This window comes from Homo sapiens, chromosome 8 (assembly GCF_000001405.40).
Source record: "Homo sapiens chromosome 8, GRCh38.p14 Primary Assembly".
NCBI lineage: Eukaryota > Metazoa > Chordata > Mammalia > Primates > Hominidae > Homo > Homo sapiens.
The window spans coordinates 103,906,322-103,923,881 of NC_000008.11; the positions used below are offsets into that span (position 1 = coordinate 103,906,322).

The 17,560-nt window shown below is 33.3% G+C and overlaps 1 protein-coding gene across 64 annotated transcripts in view; it reads left to right on the forward strand.

Moving 5' to 3' along the window:
* Nucleotides 1-17,560, forward strand: part of RIMS2 (regulating synaptic membrane exocytosis 2) — a 755,485-nt gene that overhangs the window by 405,712 nt on the left and 332,213 nt on the right. For 38 of the 64 annotated variants that reach the window (NR_145710.2, NR_145711.2, XM_017014015.3 and 35 more), the window contains 6 exons: nt 3,813-3,880; nt 5,732-5,851; nt 9,174-9,273; nt 10,093-10,216; nt 12,120-12,166; nt 15,351-15,463. Coding sequence is in view for 62 of the 64 variants with exons in the window: in XM_017014015.3 (XP_016869504.1) it covers nt 3,813-3,880; nt 5,732-5,851; nt 9,174-9,273; nt 10,093-10,216; nt 12,120-12,166; nt 15,351-15,463 (572 nt within the window). In the remaining 2 variants the exon portion in view is untranslated. Of the gene's footprint in view, nt 1-3,812; nt 3,881-3,999; nt 4,209-5,731; nt 5,852-9,173; nt 9,274-10,092; nt 10,217-12,119; nt 12,167-15,350; nt 15,464-17,560 lie in introns of all 64 variants that reach the window. The other 26 variants (XM_017014009.3, XM_011517395.4, XM_017014008.3 and 23 more) reach the window with 1 other exon arrangement.

Genomic DNA, 17,560 nt, shown 5'->3' on the forward strand with positions numbered 1-17,560 from the left:
GCAACCTCCGCCTTCCGGGTTCAAATGATTCTCTTGCCTCAGCCTCCCAAGTAGCTGGGACTGGGAGCTACATGCCACCATGCCCAGCTAGTTTTCGTATTTTTATTAGAGATGGAGTTTCATCAGGTTGGCCAGGCTGGTTTCAAACTCCTGACCTCAGGTGATCCACCTGCCTCAGCCTCACTAAGTGCTGGGATTACAGGCGTGAGCCACTGCACCCAGCATATATGACAGGTTTTTTTGTCAATCAGATGTTTTTGCTTTAGTTTCAAATGGTTAAACAGCTTATGTTTTTTTATTTTCAGAGAAAAAGAATTACATTTCTGCCTTTTTGGTAGGTTGCAAGCACAGAGGGAGAAGAGAAATTTTGAGCTGAATTTTCTTACTGTCACACAAACCAGTTAAGAATTTTTATTTACAGGCTTCAGGCTTCTACTGTTTTATCTCTAGTGCACAGATTTGTCAATGCTTTGTTATGGGACAATACTGTATTTTGAAAGGGCTACAGGTTTTCTGAGACATAGATACACTTAGCTTTTTGGGCAGCCATCCAGGCATGGGCATTAAGTATCCCATGTACTGGTCATCTCCATATACTCCAGTGTGTTTTACCAATATTGTAATTATTTGTGCCATGAAAAAGCTTGGGAAGCACTTCTCTAGCCCACAGAAAGAATGGGGTTCTTTCTACAAATTGCATATTGTGTGTGTTAGGTAATAAAGCCTATTCTCTTTTATAAATTAGTTTCTTAAAAGAATTGCCTCCAGTAATTCTGAAACATCTAACCATAATCATCTGGAAGGCTTGTTAAAATATAGACTGCTAGGCCCACCAACAGTTTCTGATTCATTAAGTCTAGGGTGGCACCCAAGAATTTACAGTTCTAACATGTTCCCAGGTGTTGCTGATGATGCTATTTTGAGGAATGCAATTTGAGAACCATTCATTTACACACAACTTTTTCTACTTTTTTACTTCCCTTGGTTCTTCAGTTTCTTCAACCTGGTTTTAATTTTCATCATTCTATCCAATTGTTCTTCCTGACATCTTTTCTAATCTTCATGATTGCCAAATCCAATGCATATTTTTCACCTCCTCATCTTATTTGATAAGTAAAAATCATTCAGTATAGTTGATTTCTTCTTTGTTTTAGGAAACTCTATTTGATTTGTAGACCTCCCTCTGTCTCCCTCCTTCCTTCCTTTTTTTTCTCTGCATGCTGTTTCTGAATCTTTTCTCTTTTTTGTTTTTTCTCAAATCAAACCCTAAATGTTAGAATTCAGTTTGGATTCTCTTCATACCTTATTTTACCCTCTATTTCTAAATGATCTCACATACTCCTGTCTATATGTTAATTATTGCCAATTTATGTCTCCAGATCAAAACTTTGAATTTTTTGTTTTTTTTATTTTATTTTATTTTTATTTTTTATGTTTTTTTTTTGAGACGGAGTCGCTCTGTCGCCCAGGCTGGAGTGCAGTGGTGCGCTCCCGGCTCACTGCAAGTTCCGCCTCCCGGGTTCACGCTATTCTCCTGCCTCAGCCTCCTGAATAGCTGGGACTACATGCACCCGCCACCATGCCCGGCTAACTTTTTGTATTTTTTTTAGTAGAGACGGGGTTTCACCGTGTTAGCCAGGATGGTCTCGATCTCCTGACCTCGAGATCCGCCCGCCTCGGCCTCCCAAAGTGCTGGGATTACAGGCGTAAGCCACCGCGCCCGGCCTTTGTTTTCTTTCTTGAGACAGTCTCGCTCTGTCTCCAGGCTGGAGTGCAGTGGCGCAATCTCAGCTCACTGCAACCTCCGCCTCCCAGGTTCAAGAAATCCTCCTGCCTCAGCCTCCCGAATAGCTTGGACTACAGGCGTGCACCACCATGCCCAGCTAATTTTTTGTATTTTTAGTAGAGATGGGACTTTACCATGTTGGCCAGGATGATCTCCATCTCTTGACCTCGTGATCCGTCTGCATCAGCCTCCCAAAGTGTTGCGATTACAGGCGTGAGCCACCATGCCTGGCCAAAACTTTAAGTTTTATTACACCTTGACCAGATTCCTTCTTATATGTCCACTAGGTTCAAATAATATATCAAAAATCAACCACCATATTTAATACATTCTCAGATGTACATTTTTATCATTTTATATCCTGAAAGTTATGAATCCTATAGTCAATGGCATCATATATTTTATGAAATAGAGTAATTCCCTGTTACCCTTCCCTAACAAGAAGTGCTCTTCCTCCAGTCGTCTCCATCTCATAAATTTTTTCTTCCATTCAGTTATTAATGCCAGAAACCGGGGAGTTAACCTTGACTCTTTAGTCTTTCTTAACACTGTTATTTCTACTTCAAAAACATCTCTCAATCCCTCTTTTCTTACCATGTCTATTGCTATTATCTTTATTCAAGCCATAATTACCTTTCCCAAGGGTTATTGTAAATGTCTTTTAACTTTTGGTGTCATACAACCTAGTCTCTATATAGTACTTATATTCATCCTTTTTAAAATGTTAATCAGATTATGTCACCATTTCACTTAAAATCCTTCAGTGTTTGAAATTTAAAATCTTTAATATGAAATAGAAAGACCTACCTAAGTTGTTCTGTGCTGCCTTACCAGTTTCATTTAATACTATATTCTTCTTCATTCTTTTTGGTTCAGAAACCATGGTGTTCCTTCAGTTCTTTTATAGCACCATGTCACATCTTTCAGTTCTCATCTTAAACATTACTTGAGGGGTGTTTGCTGACCCCAAAGTCTAAATTAGATCTTATTGTATTCTTTCGTAGTGTCTTGTATTTTTCTATATGACACTGATGATCTGTTTCTCTATCCCTACTCTGTTGTAAGCATATTTCATTGTTTTACCCTTTCAAGTAGAGCTTAGCACAATACATACCAAATGGAAGGTGTTCAGTATTTTTAGAAAAATAAAATTATAAATAGAATTTTAAAAGATATATGTACATATATAGACTAAAAAATTTAAGATAAAAATATTTTATATTTTGAAATACTGAGCAAATAAGCATGTAAGTTTGGGAAATGGTGGATATACATTCTTAGTTGCCAATTACATAAATTGTCTGACAAAATTTTTTGTAATTTACTTATTATAAGAATGTGATTTCTGAAAAATGTGGAAAAATTATTTCAAAATATTAAGTGATTCATGATGTTTAAGTAAAGTTTATTTTTACTAATAGATATTGAATGAACCTGTTTTATAATTTTCATACAAATTAATCTTTTGTGAAAACAATTTTTTTAACGACACAAATTTCTTAGGAGGTTTTAGCATGATGAAGAATATCATACTGCATTTCAGAAATGACTTTTAATTATTTGGCTTTTTAAAATACTGGCTATTGCAAACCAATGTAAACTTTTTAAATGTCCCTTAATCTTTGGAGAACAAACTCATGTCTTTAGACCAGCACAGGAGTAAAAAAAATATATGGCATGAATAACAGTCATAGCTAATAGTCTTTTTCAGCATATACATTTTTTGTTTCTATTTCTGTTTATTATTTCTGTTTATTATTAGCTTTTTCTCTTTTTGCAGGACTTTTGTAGGGTCTGTCTAGAGATATAAACTTTATATTATACTTTCTATAAATTTTACTTTTTGAATATTAGCTTTCTTTTGGCATATATATAGCACTCACTATATATATATATATATAGTGAGTGCTACAGACAAAGTTCTTGAGACCAGACAGGATCACACAGTTTAAAATGTTTATAATGTCTCTGTCTGTCCCTTTTTTCACCATCTCCTTTACTGCACTCTTTTGTCTGACTCTCACAGGAGACATGGATTACAACTGGTTGGATCATACGTCTTGGCATAGCAGTGAGGCATCCCCAATGTCTTTGGTGAGACATGTGGAGCCTTACTATTTAATTTTCGTTATCATTTCACTTTTCCTTTTTTATTTACACCTTTGCATGTTTCTTTTTTGTATCTTTTTTTTTTTTTTATCCCATACCTGTAGGGGACAGTCAAAAGGGAAAAAGAAAAACTAGTGAGCAGGCAGTTTTGTCGGACTCTAACACCAGGTCTGAGAGACAAAAGGAAATGATGTACTTTGGTGGCCACTCTTTGGAAGAGGATTTGGAATGGTCTGAACCTCAGATTAAGGACTCTGGGGTAGATACGTGTAGTAGCACAACCCTTAACGAGGAGCATAGCCATAGTGATAAGGTACTGAGATTGTGGAGCCTGCCTTTTAACCTGCTCATTTGGTCTTCGTTTGCTCTCTGTCACTCATTAAAACAGAACATAATAAAAGGACAGGGCATCTCAAGGGTCACTGTAGCATTTCTTAAGGTGCAGAAAAGAAAAACAAAACCAAACTAAACAAACAACAAACCAAAAAAAACCTCTTGCTTGCTTTGCTGTTTTTATTGTTTGACGGCATACCAAAAAATAAGTATATGAAAATAAAACTTAGGAACAAAGGAATGTTTTGTCTTTTGTCGCATGAGAGAACTTTGTAATGTTATTAAAAACCACAAATAATAAATAAGTTTTGGATTGGCTTATTTGATTGTTTGCATATATTTTCCTTGGGATGAAAATTAAATTATTAATAGTTTGAATCCCAGGCAAAAGGGAGATAATTGGGTCTGTTTGCACAGAAAAAGTTGTTTTTCTTTTTTCCCTTTCACTGTCATTTTGGTCTTTTGTTTTATTGTCATAGCATTTTAATGTGGTATTAATTAGTATTAGAGCCCTTGCCATCTGCTTTGATATTTATCATTGTTGCTCTTAGGATAGTGGGACTTTTGATATCTTTTTACAATATAGATGTAATTGACTGGAACTTATGTTTTGCCTGCTAAATTTTGCATGAAGATATGCCTGTTACTTTTTGATAACTGTGAAACTATGATTACACAAATCATTTACTTTCTTTACTTAGAATATCATTCATAACAGAATACTGTCATTATTTACAGAGGCCTTGGTTCAGCCCTGAGAAAGAAAGAATAATGTTTTCAAGGTTATTTAACAATGAATATCATTGAATTATCTAGTAAAGGTAATTTACTAAATAGATCAAAGACCTGAAAGAATCATGAAAGAACCTCTGAGAAATGAGAACTGTAATCTATTCTCACCTGTAGATGAAGCCTATTTCTCCCATGCAGATTCAACTGGGAATTTATTGGGGCTTGTGTACACTTTATTATTTTAATCTAGAAACCTATGCAAAAAAGCCCTCATCATAGGCTCAAATGTAATGTTTTAATATGATTTGACTTTTAAATTTTTACTGTAATACAGGCTTTCAAAATCTTCCAAAAGTGTTTGAAGAGGAAATTTTCATTTTTAAATGAATTCACTTGCGTAGAATTTCAATGCATCTTTTCTTCCCGTGAATTTTTATTTTTCAGCATGTAGATAATTAGAGTTGCATGCATTTTCAAAATTTCTCAGATTTTGTAGAGCTATATAACTTCAGTATTGTGTTAGAGAACTGTAAGAATTGGAAGTAATTGGATTTTGAAAAAAACTTTGAGATTATATTGAGGTTATAAGCATAATATAGTACACCCTTATGATCAGTGCTTTGAAATGAAAGCTGGTTTGTGTAATCATAACACTGAAATTCTGAAGTTTAGAGAGGTCGTACAATCAGAGATCATTTGTCATAAAACGATAAATAAAATCATTTATTTATTTTGTATTTATTTATTTTGTTTGTTGATGCAAAATGTCAGCACCCTGTAACCTGGCAACCATCTAAAGATGGAGATCGTTTAATTGGTCGCATTTTATTAAATAAGCGTCTAAAAGATGGAAGTGTACCTCGAGATTCAGGAGCAATGCTTGGCTTGAAGGTATGTAATAAAAAGTATGAGATTTTGGCTCTATACTCTTACAGATTTACCAGAAAAGCAAAGGATAACTCTTTCAACCTGTACCAATTTAGTAGTGTATTTTTCCATTTTCAATAGTTTGTGAAGATTCGCACTCATTATCTAAAACATTTCATTTTCCCACTATTATTTAAGAAGTTGCCATAATTCCACAGTAATACTTGTATATATATAAATTTGGAAGACATTAAAAGTAACCTAATTAAGATCTACTTGAATCTTAAATACAGTGGTCGAATGTATTTTAATTATACAGTTTATTCTTTAAGTCAAAATCTATGTTTATATTTTATTAAAGTGATAGTTTTTTAATAATTACTGAAAATGAAAACTTGGGAAATGTAATATGTATATATATGTATATTGCATATGTGTATATATATAATTTTGTATAAATGCTGTAAAATGTGTGTGTGCATGTGTATGTGCATATGTGCACTTAAGAGAGAGTACTGTTTGAATTCTAAAAACAAAAATAATTATGCTGGGAGATTAAATACAAATATTGATTTATGTTTTACAGTAAAATACCAGAAAATTATTTGGTAAATACATTAAATAGAGCTTTGTTTGTTTTTTGTGCATGTAGTATAACCAATTAAAACCTGAAATGAATAAAGAATATGCTGGGTGTCATGGTTCATGCCTGTAATCACAACACTTTGGAAGGCCCAGGTGGGAAAATTGCTTTAGACCAGGAGTTTGAGACCGACCTAGACAACATAGTGAAGTCCTGTCTCTAGCAAACTTTTTTTGTTGTTTTTTTTTTTTTTTTTTTTGAGATGGAGTCTCGCTGTATGTCCCAGGCTGGAGTGCAGTGGCATGATCTCGGGTCACTGCAACCTTCGCCTCTTGGATTCAAGTGATTCTCCTGCCTCAGCCTCCCAAGTAGCTGTGACTATAGGCGCGCACCACCATACCCAGCTATTTTTTTTTTTTTGTATTTTTAGTAGAGACGGGGTTTCACCATGTTGGCCAGGATGATCTTGATCTCTTGACCTTGTGATCCGCCCACCATGACCTCCCAGCATGCTGGGATTACAGGCGTGAGCCACTGCGCTCAGCCCAAAAAATTTTAAATTAGTTGGACATAGCAGCACATGCCTGGAGTCCTAGCTACTGAGGAGGCTGAGGCAGGAGGATTGCCAGGAGTTCGAGGTTACAGTGGGCTGTGATCACACCACTGAATTCCAGCCTGGGCAACAGAGTGAGACTCTGTCTCTCTCTAAAAAAAGTAAATGTTTTAGAGCTAAGCCATTCCTATAAAAATTGTCCTGTAGAATATAAGAGATATTAGGAAACTTTGGATGTAGGTAGAATTGGGCTGTGTATTAGGTCTTTCTTGCATTGCTGTAAAGAAATACCTGACTGGGTAATTTATAAAGAAAAGAGGTTTAATCAGCTCATAGTTCTGCAGGCTTTAAAGGAAGCATGATGCCAACATCTGCTTGGCTTCTGGGGAGGCCTCAGGAAGCTTACAATTATGGTCAAAGGTGAAGGGAGAGTACGCATGTCACATGGCAAAAGCAGGAGCAAGAGAGAGTGGGAGTGGGAAGCAAGGTGCCACATAGGTTTAAATGACCAGATCTTGCAAGAACTCACTATCACAAAGACAGCACCAAGCCACAAGGGATCTGTCCCATGATCCAAACACCTCTCCTCAGGTTCTACCTCCAGCATTGGGGATTACAATTCAACATGAGATTTGCGCAGGGACAAACATCCAAACTATATCAGACTACTAACATTTATTGTGTGGCATCCATGTGCTTGCACTCAACCTGAGCATTTTATATCTGTTATCCTAGAACACTCACAATAGATGAGAAATAGGCCCAGAAAGGTGTTTAACTTACCCATGGTCACAAGATGGTGACAATGGTGGGATTTAAATTCAGATTTGACCATTTCCAGGGACAGTGAGATGTGCCTATAGTCCCAGCTACTTGGAAGGCTAAGGCAGGAGGATTGCTTGAGCCCAGGGTTTCAAGTCCAGCCTGAGCAAAATAGTGAGACCCTTTGTCTTAAAAACAATTTTTTTAATCCAGATATGCCTATTATAGTGTTAGAATAAAGGTTAGCAAGTCTTGGCTTCAATTCCAAATACAGGAGTTACTAGTTACGTGAAACCGGACAAATAAACTTCTCTTAGCTTTAGATTTCTTACCTGTTCGATGAGGATAATTGAATTGTTGTAATATGATTAAATAAATCAACATACAAACATTTAGTAAAGTGTCTGGCAAGCTTTAAGATATCAATAATCATTATAGCCAGTATAATTAATTATTATTAATGTTTGTTAAGCCAAAAAGTTTTTAAATATTTACTTAAGGATATAAGTCAATAAGAGCTATACATATAATTTTCAGAATTAAACATAGGACTAATTAGTTTATTAACTGAATTGAAGCTATGTGCAAGTCACTGTAATTATGGAAAAAATGCATGGAATAAGATACACCCCGTGATTTTTGAATTCAAATAACTTTCACTCTATTTAGAAGAGAAAAACCAATTCATTTCAGTCAGTGAGTTGCTATTATTTGCTTCACTTGCCATCAAATTGAGATATTGACTGAATGGCAGTTGATTAGAATCAAAGCATTAATTTTGTAAGGTATACAAGTATACATATGACTCCACAGCAGGTATACATATGACTCCACAGCATTATTCCTAACATTTTTATTCATTTTCTAAAAGTTATATTTTAATAGAAACATAAAAATGAAAAATTGGGATTCAGATGGTCTGAATTTTATGTTACTTCTGATGCGATTACGTAAATTTTGTAATTTTTTTCAAGAAAGATCCATCATCATTAAGCACATTATCAGTGTTTCTAAAAGATTATCAATGAAAATTTGGTGGTATATCCTAATTATAGTAAAAGAAACAAAAATTTTGTATTAAAGTATTTACATCTATAACTAGAAATGTTTATATAATTAATGATACTGTAAAATGTTTTTGTAAATGACAAAAGCAAGAATTCCTGAATCAGGACAAAAATTACCAATTGTTATGTTGTTTCTAAGTTATGCAACACTTCAGCAAATTATGGATTAAATGGCAAAACAGTTGGAATATGTGAAAAAGACCTAGCTCTTAGGGCATGTGCTAACCTAATAGAGACAATAAATTATTTAAGAAATCATTTTCTGTACATTAAATTAGCGTTTTAGGTGTTGCAAATTGTTCTAGGTATTCTTTTACCTGAATCTTCAACCATGCTCATTTTAACAATATTCCCATGTTAATACTTTCCTCTTTTAAACAGGTTGTAGGAGGAAAGATGACTGAATCAGGTCGGCTTTGTGCATTTATTACTAAAGTAAAAAAAGGAAGTTTAGCTGATACTGTAGGACATCTTAGACCAGGTAGGGTTTTACCTTTGATTATTTACATTTAAACCATTCAACTTTAGTAGTTATGAGTTATTTTCATTTATTTAGAAGTGATTTGACAATAACAAAGAGCTCATTTAACTTAGATATAAATCTCTATTCATTAATGGAAAGGCAAAACTATTATTTCTTGAGTCATAGTAGATAAAAATCATTTTTATTTGACTTTATCTTACTTTTTTCTGATTGGTGTTCTAATCTGTATCTAATATTAACCTGTTTTGTTTCCCCTAAGACCTTTTTCTTTTGAGAAAATTCCAACATAGTTTAGAATAAACTTTATGGATAAAGGCATATTTCCTACCGTGTGTGTCACCCCTTATCTCTTTGTTAATGGATACTGTTGGAGAAATCCTTGAGTACCTTAAAGAGGATTTGATAATATACTAATTATTAAGGTTTTTACAAGAGAATTTAGATACTGGAAACCCTTTACAAAAAAACAAGGTGCTCAGTTGCACATATATTGAGAAACCTGGAGTATAGAGTCATAAAATCTTTAAGGAGGCAACTGATTTTGATAGTTGCTTAGAATTCGAATTTCTATTAAGAAATCCCATAGAGATAATGTTTACATAATTTTTTCCTCCGATCATTGTCCTTTCCTGTGAAATATACTAATCAACATGGTCATCAAATTTTGTGTCACTGGAACTGTTGTTCTCAGTATGTTTCGTATTGTATAATGGTTATTTTATCCTATGGAGTTTATTGAAGTTTAAGATGCTCTTAAGTGTAATTTGTCAGATCAAATTTTCTGTATAAGATTATTATTACTGACACCCACTATAGGTGATGAAGTATTAGAATGGAATGGAAGACTACTGCAAGGAGCCACATTTGAGGAAGTGTACAACATCATTCTAGAATCCAAACCTGAACCACAAGTAGAACTTGTAGTTTCAAGGCCTATTGGGTAAGTTGGTTTCAGTATTTTATATGTGTGTGAAGTTGAATAGTGTTAAACAATATGTAATGTGCCATTTAATAATTTCTGATTGCTTTATGGAAATGAATTATTTTGTAGACAATAACTTTTTCTCTTTCCTTAACAAAAGCACCACACCAAAAATAATGATATCTCTTTATCTGATCATATAGATGGTAGAATATATAGTTAATTACAAAAGAAGAAGAAATATTTAGGTGTTTATTCATTTTGTTGTAACACTTTAGAAGGTGGTTATAGGATTTAGTAGGGGAAGGAGACTATAAATCATCTATAGTCTATAAATTTTACATTTTTCAAAATAGAGATTTCAACATAGGAAAGAAAGGGCCAAAGGACATACAATTCCTACATAGAGGTAATAGTTTATGGAAAAACATGAAATCTTTTTTAACAAGGTAGACAAACAGACCAAAAATAAGCAAACACCAAAGTACTCTTTGGCTTTGTAATTTATACCTCTGTTTTATAATGCCTATGCATTAAATATAATGCCTATAAATTAAAATTGACAGTTTCCAAACATTAGCAATAAATATTAAAGAGGCAAGTGAATTACATTACATGCCAAGGTAAAATATATACCTATATCAGAGTAAAAGCAACAGAAAAATACTACTGTTAGTGAATTATTACATGCAGATTTGGGGTAAGAGCATTCTAGGGTGAAGCCTACAGAAATCCTTTGTTGTAGAATGGTAATGTCCAGTTTTAATTCATTTAGGAAATGATGGGCCTGTATTATTTTTATCTCTTTTTTAAAAATGCTGAAGAAAACGACTTAGGGTGGTAGCTTAGTTTTATTGAAATGTTCCTTTTAAAGTATTAAATCTGGCACTTGAAATTGTATTCATTTTTTATTTTGTCCTTTCATAGTTTTATATTATGGTAAAACTGCAGTGCATAAGATTTGTGTATTGATCAAATATATTTCTTGGTATTAAAGGATCTTCAAGTCATATTTTTGTTTAATATTTTAAAGAATTTATAGTTCTTTATGTAATTTACTGAATGAATGTAACCATTAATGTTTACCCCTTGTGTCAAATCTCAAATAAAAAGATACACTTACTTTTGGTGTAAATATAGTTCCAAGGTAATGTTGAGATTCCCCATAAGAAACATGTTTGCCTTTTTCTCAATGATGTTACTACATTTTAAAAGTTTCCGGTGGCTCATGCCTGTAATCCCAGCACTTTGGGAGGGCGAGGCGGAAGGATCACTTGAAGTCAGGAGTTCAAAACCAGCCTGGCCAACATGGTGAAACCTCGTCTCTGCTAAAAATACAAAAATTAGGCTGAGGCAGGAGAATTGCTTGAACCCAGAAAGTGGAGGTTGCAGTGAGCTGAGATCGCGGCACTGCACTCCAGCCTGGTGACAGAGTGAGACTCCATCTTAAAAAAATAAAAATAAATAAAATAAAATGAGTTTTAATCACAATATGAATATCTTACTTTTTATTTTGGTGATATTTTATTTGCACTTTAATGTTACTCATTTAGAATAGCAGGTAAAACCAAAGAGCAGAATAGAATAAAAATGTATCTGTAAAACTTATCTTGTTGAATGCAAATTTTTTATAATGGGTAATTGTGTAGTGAGGCACATAGAAAATAAAGTCTGTTTTTAAAAGTATGCTATGGATGCATGTGAATTTTAATTCCTTTTAAATAGTTGGGGTTAGCCCAGGATACTTTTATTAGCAATAAGTACTAAGGCTTGTTTGTTTCTTATTTATATAATGCCACTATTATACACAGTTTTCTTCATTTTACACTCTCCTATTAATAGGTTGATAATAATAAAAAATATGAGTTGCATTAATTGTTGAAACAGTTTCTGTCTTTCTTTTTTTTTTTAATCATTTCAGAGATATACCGCGAATACCTGATAGCACACATGCACAACTGGAGTCCAGTAAGTTTTATTTATGCTGGAAGAAAACGTTATTTATAATTGCATTCATCAGAGATCAGATGAAGTATTTAACTAGTAATGTGAAGTAAGAAATATGATAACCTTGTTATCAAGTCTGTAAGCATATAAAGATGGAAAATTTAGTATTATTTCATGTCACTGTGGGAAAAACAAAAATGTAGAATATTTTAAGTTTTTTTTAAACATGTCTTATTACAGATTTTTAGATAGCATTATTAAGGTATACTACAATAAACTGCATATACTTAAAGTACACAATTAGGTAAGTTTTGAAATACATATATACCTGTGAAACCATCATCCCAACAAAAAATCATGAATATATTCACTACTCCCAAAAATTCATCCCCAAAACTTCCCCTAGTTTTAAAATTTGCTATTTGTAACCTCATCCTCATTAAGTGGGGGGAAATGCTTGGAATAAACTAGTGAATAATTACATTTATTCTAATTTCTATTTTTGGAAAGTGGGATAACAGTTCTGATTTAACGTCAGAGCAGTAGTGGAACAATAAATACAGAAGTTTAATGTCAAATTTATCTATAATTTAAAAAATTATTTTGAGTGCTATTTCCAATGTTAAATTAATTTTTTCCAATGAACTAAGTTACTTTATTGATTGAGAGTACAGTAAGGGATATTGGGAGAGAGGAAAAAAAGGATTGCAGTTTGAAATATGTTGATCAGGATAGACCACACTGAGAAGGAAGGATTGAAGGAAACATTTGGAGTGGCTGCCTGGGGGGAAATCTTTCCAGGTACAGGATAGGTGGATGCAATGGCAAGAAAGCCTAAGGTGCATTTAAGGAAATTCAACGAGGCCAGTGTAGCTGAATGGAGTGAGCAAGAGGAAGAATGGTATGAATGAGGACAGAGGAATAATGGGCAAATTGCATAGTCTATATAACCCACTGTAAGGACTTTGACTTTTACTTTCAGGAAAATTGGGAGCTATCTAGGATGGTTTTGAGTAGATACTTAGTGTTAAAATCTGGCTACTAGATTGCAAATAGATTAAATAGAGTCGAGGGTAAAACCAGAGAGACTAGTGAGAAGGCTAATCTAGTGGCAAGATAGTGGTGACTTAAACCGTGGTGGTAGCAATGAGGATGGTGAGAAGTGGTCAGATTCTCTATATACCACAATAGTTGAGAATGTACTATTAAAATAGATGTTTTTTACTTTCATATTTACAATTACAAGTTTCTTTAAAGTTTTTATCAGAGTAGTCCTTTGAATGCCATAGCTCTATACTTTACAATATGGTCCCATGGCTTATTTGATTTAGTATCTTTGGCTACGTGCTAAATGATTTTATCCAAAGTAATATCATGATCACATAAAACTCTAACATAAATAATAAAATTATAATTATTATAAAATGATATTATCATCATTATCCTTATTGCTCCCATTTTATTTAGTACTTGTAACTGTGCTTGATGTTGTACCTATACCATCACATTTAATTTTTACAACAATCCTATGGGGTAGGTTAAAATTTTTATTCACCTTTATTACATCTCTCAGATACTGCATGAGCAGCATGGAAACCTTTATCTTATTTTAGCTATTTAAAAAGACCCTAGACTATAATTCCAAAATCGTTTCTGAGGAGACAGGGGTCCTTTCTCAGATTAGATCCAATCTTTTATTCTTTAAACATTGAGTTTTTTTCCAAGCCCCTGTCCTTAACCCTCTTTATTCCTGGTTCCTCAATAAATTATTTTCTTCTTATGGTTGTAATTGCCAGCTGTATGACTTCCAAGTTTACATTACCAAAAGGAGCTATCATTGTCCCTACATGCCTGGATGTTCAAAGAATACATTCTGTTGTGTCTTCCTGCTACCTAAAGCTTAACAACCTTTATTGTAAAAAACAACAACGACAACAACAACAACAAAAAAAACCCAGCTTATTTCTTAGTAGAAAGCTTTCATTCTTTCTACTTGCTAGTAATATAAAAGGTATCACCATTACTTCTAATCCCAAGGCTTGCAGTTTCCCCTCATTTCCAATTAGGCATACCACTCTACAGGTTAATTTCCAACACTAGTCTCTACTTTGACATTTGGTCCCATCTGTACTTCCACATACCTGCTTTACATCTCCCATTGGATGTCCCAGAGGTGTTGTAGGTTCACTGTGTTCCCAATTAAGTTTTTATACATCCATTCCCTTAAATATAGGTCTTCCTGGCCTAGCGTGGTGGCTCACGCGTGTAATCCCAGCACTTTGGGAGGCCGAGGCGGGCGGATCACGAGGTCAGGAGATCGAGACCATCCTGGCTAACACGGTGAAACCCCGTCTCTACTAAAAAAAAAAAAAAATACAAAAAATTATCCGGACGTGGTGGCAGGCGCCTGTAGTCCCAGCTACTTGGGAGGCTGAGGCAGGAGAATGGCGTGAACCCGGGAGGCGGAGCTTGCAGTGAGCCGAGATCACGCCACCGCACTCCAGCCTGGGCCACAGAATGAGATTCTGTCTCAAAGCAACAACAACAACAACAACAACAACAACAACAACAACAACAACAAAAACAGGTCTTCCCCAGTGTTCTGAATCTCAATGAATATCAGCAATGTTCTGTCGAGAGAACACGACAGACATACAGGGAATGTTCTTGTCCCCAAGAATCAAAATAGTGACAATAAATATTTAACATTTTATTCCTTTTTTTCATGCCCCTCACTTCTTTCTGCCAGTTTGTTATATTCTGCCAGACATCGTTTTAAAAATTTAATAATTTTGCACTTATTTTCTTAATGTTTGCAAATGTAGTCTGTCTTTCAGTTGCTTTAATGATTTATGTTTTGATTACTCCTTGTTTCTACTTTTAAATTTTTCTTAATATGTCATTGTAAGATATGAATATAGTACACTTAACAGATAATAACTAAGTCCTGAGGTAGAGGTCTGTCTCTACTATAACTGGCACAGAAAATGGTTCACTGTTAGTCTTAAGAGAATCCCTATAGTGCCCTTTGGCTTCCAAAAAAACCCTTTAAGAATATTTGGAATGTTTTGTCTAAGAAATGGTCTATATAATGACACCTTGTGGACATCAAAAAAATAAATAATTTAAAAGATATATGGCAAAACTTACTAAATACTTGTGAAGAGCCATTGTTATTATTCGTTATGTGTAATTATCGTTTCAGGTTCTAGCTCCTTTGAATCTCAAAAAATGGATCGTCCTTCTATTTCTGTTACCTCTCCCATGAGTCCTGGAATGTTGAGGGATGTCCCACAGTTCTTATCAGGACAACTTTCAGTATGTAGTCATTACGTTTACTCTTCTTTTTGGAATATCAAATAGTGTTTTTAAAATATGATGCTTGTTTTTTACAAACCAAGTTATTCCTAGAACATAATTGTGCTTTTAACCTCCCACTTTCTCATTCTTTTAATTTTTGAAATCCAATTTTGATTATTTATCATACTGCTTCATTTATTAAGAGTTAGATTTACTGAAATTTAATAAAAGTTACATTTTGTAAAGGTACCTAAACTTTTTTATGTTAGTAATTATAACAAAATTCAAGTTCATAATTTTTGCTCTATACCTTAAGATGACTATAAATTGTCATAGATTTTTAAGAGAAATAAAAATGTTGCACTATATAAAGATGGTATTTCAGATAAAAGTAAACATGTATTCTTCACTGCTTTTCAACTTTAAGGATATTTGGTGTCAGCTCATAGTAATCATTGGAGTTGAATATTGCTATGAAATAAAATGATACTTGAGATATTTTTGTCAATAGACAAAATGAAATAGAGAAATATATAATGGATTGCTAAATACTTCAGATAACTTTGCACATTAAGTGATCCCTGATTTGAACATTTTAAAATAAAACTTAAATGTTCATTTATGAATTTTATATTGTGTTGATATTAGAGAAACTTTACAAATCTAAGTCTTTACTTTTTATTCGTTTGTTCTGTTGTAATTCCCTCATTAAACCATTTTAAAATAGTGAAATAATAAATTTATTGTTATATATTAGAAAAATACAGGTTAATATTACCAGTATTGTTGTTGATTACTAAACTTGAAATTTCATGAGTATTAAAAAGCTGTTTAGGTTGTCAAAATTCAGACCTTGAATTTTGGATTAAAAAAAAGTTACAGTTAAAAACTAAATTATTTGAGGCTGATATTTTAAGCCCAAAAAAGATAGCTTTTTGTTAAATTAGCTATGAAATTTCTCCTTTGGTTTTTTTTGGGGGTGGGTGGGGAGGAAAGGGTAGTATTTGATTTTTCTGAAGTATTTTCATTAATTAAAAGGAGTTATAGGAAGTATATGCAAAAAGGAAAAAAGTTCATTTGAAGTTATTAAAAAAATCATTAGACATGTCTTTTTTAGAATGATTTTGACCATAAAGGTGACAATAACAGAAAAGTTATGTAAGGAATATGTGATGCTATTAGGAGATTGTAAATGTTCCACTAAAATATATTTCTTCCTTTATTATCTTTTTTCCTTTGTATTTCATAAACAGAGTGAACTTTTTCATTTGAGGCCAGTGGTCTTTTTTCAAGTCTACAAAATAAGTAGCATCTTTCTACTTATTCTTACATATATCGACAGCCCATATGTTGTCATTTATAGTTAAAAATGTGTATTTTCTTCTACTATACTATAAAATGCTAATAAATGTTGTTTCTTATTATGGATCCATTTCAATAGTTCGTCCTTAAATAATGTTTTTGGGGCTGGATGATCCCAGTCCATAAATAAAACTGTGTGTGTGTGTGCGTGCGTGTCTGTCTGTCTGTGTCTGTGTGTATGTATAGTTTGCTTGAGTTGGTAAAGAAGGAGTGGAAGTTAGATTTCTATAATAAGTAAGTATCACTTTGTTATCTCATTTGAATCCCAAGGTCTTATTACAGATTGGACTAGGAGGGGAGGATGAGAAGCATAGGTCAGGGATTTAGACAAATTTCAAATTCAACTATTTTTCTTCATGGTTCAAAATTAATATGGTAAAAGGTACATCTGTTAAATATTTGGGGGAAATATAAATGTAGAAGTTTCACTTCTAAATTTATGTATAATGATGTAAAGTTATAGTCTTTAGATTTATAAGTGATTTTGTAATTTAAAATGTGTACTATTTTCTCCTTTTCTTATGACTTGGAAGGAATATGTTCCACTATGATATTAGTAGTAAAACTTTTAGCTGTATATGTTTTGAAATTGTTCACACATATACCCATACCCCACCCACATATATAAAAAATATTGGTTATAAATATACTGCATATTTATTGTGGGAAATCTGGAAAGTACAGAAAATTAATAAGACATAAAATCACCTATAATCCTGACACTGAAATATAACCATTCACTACATATAAATT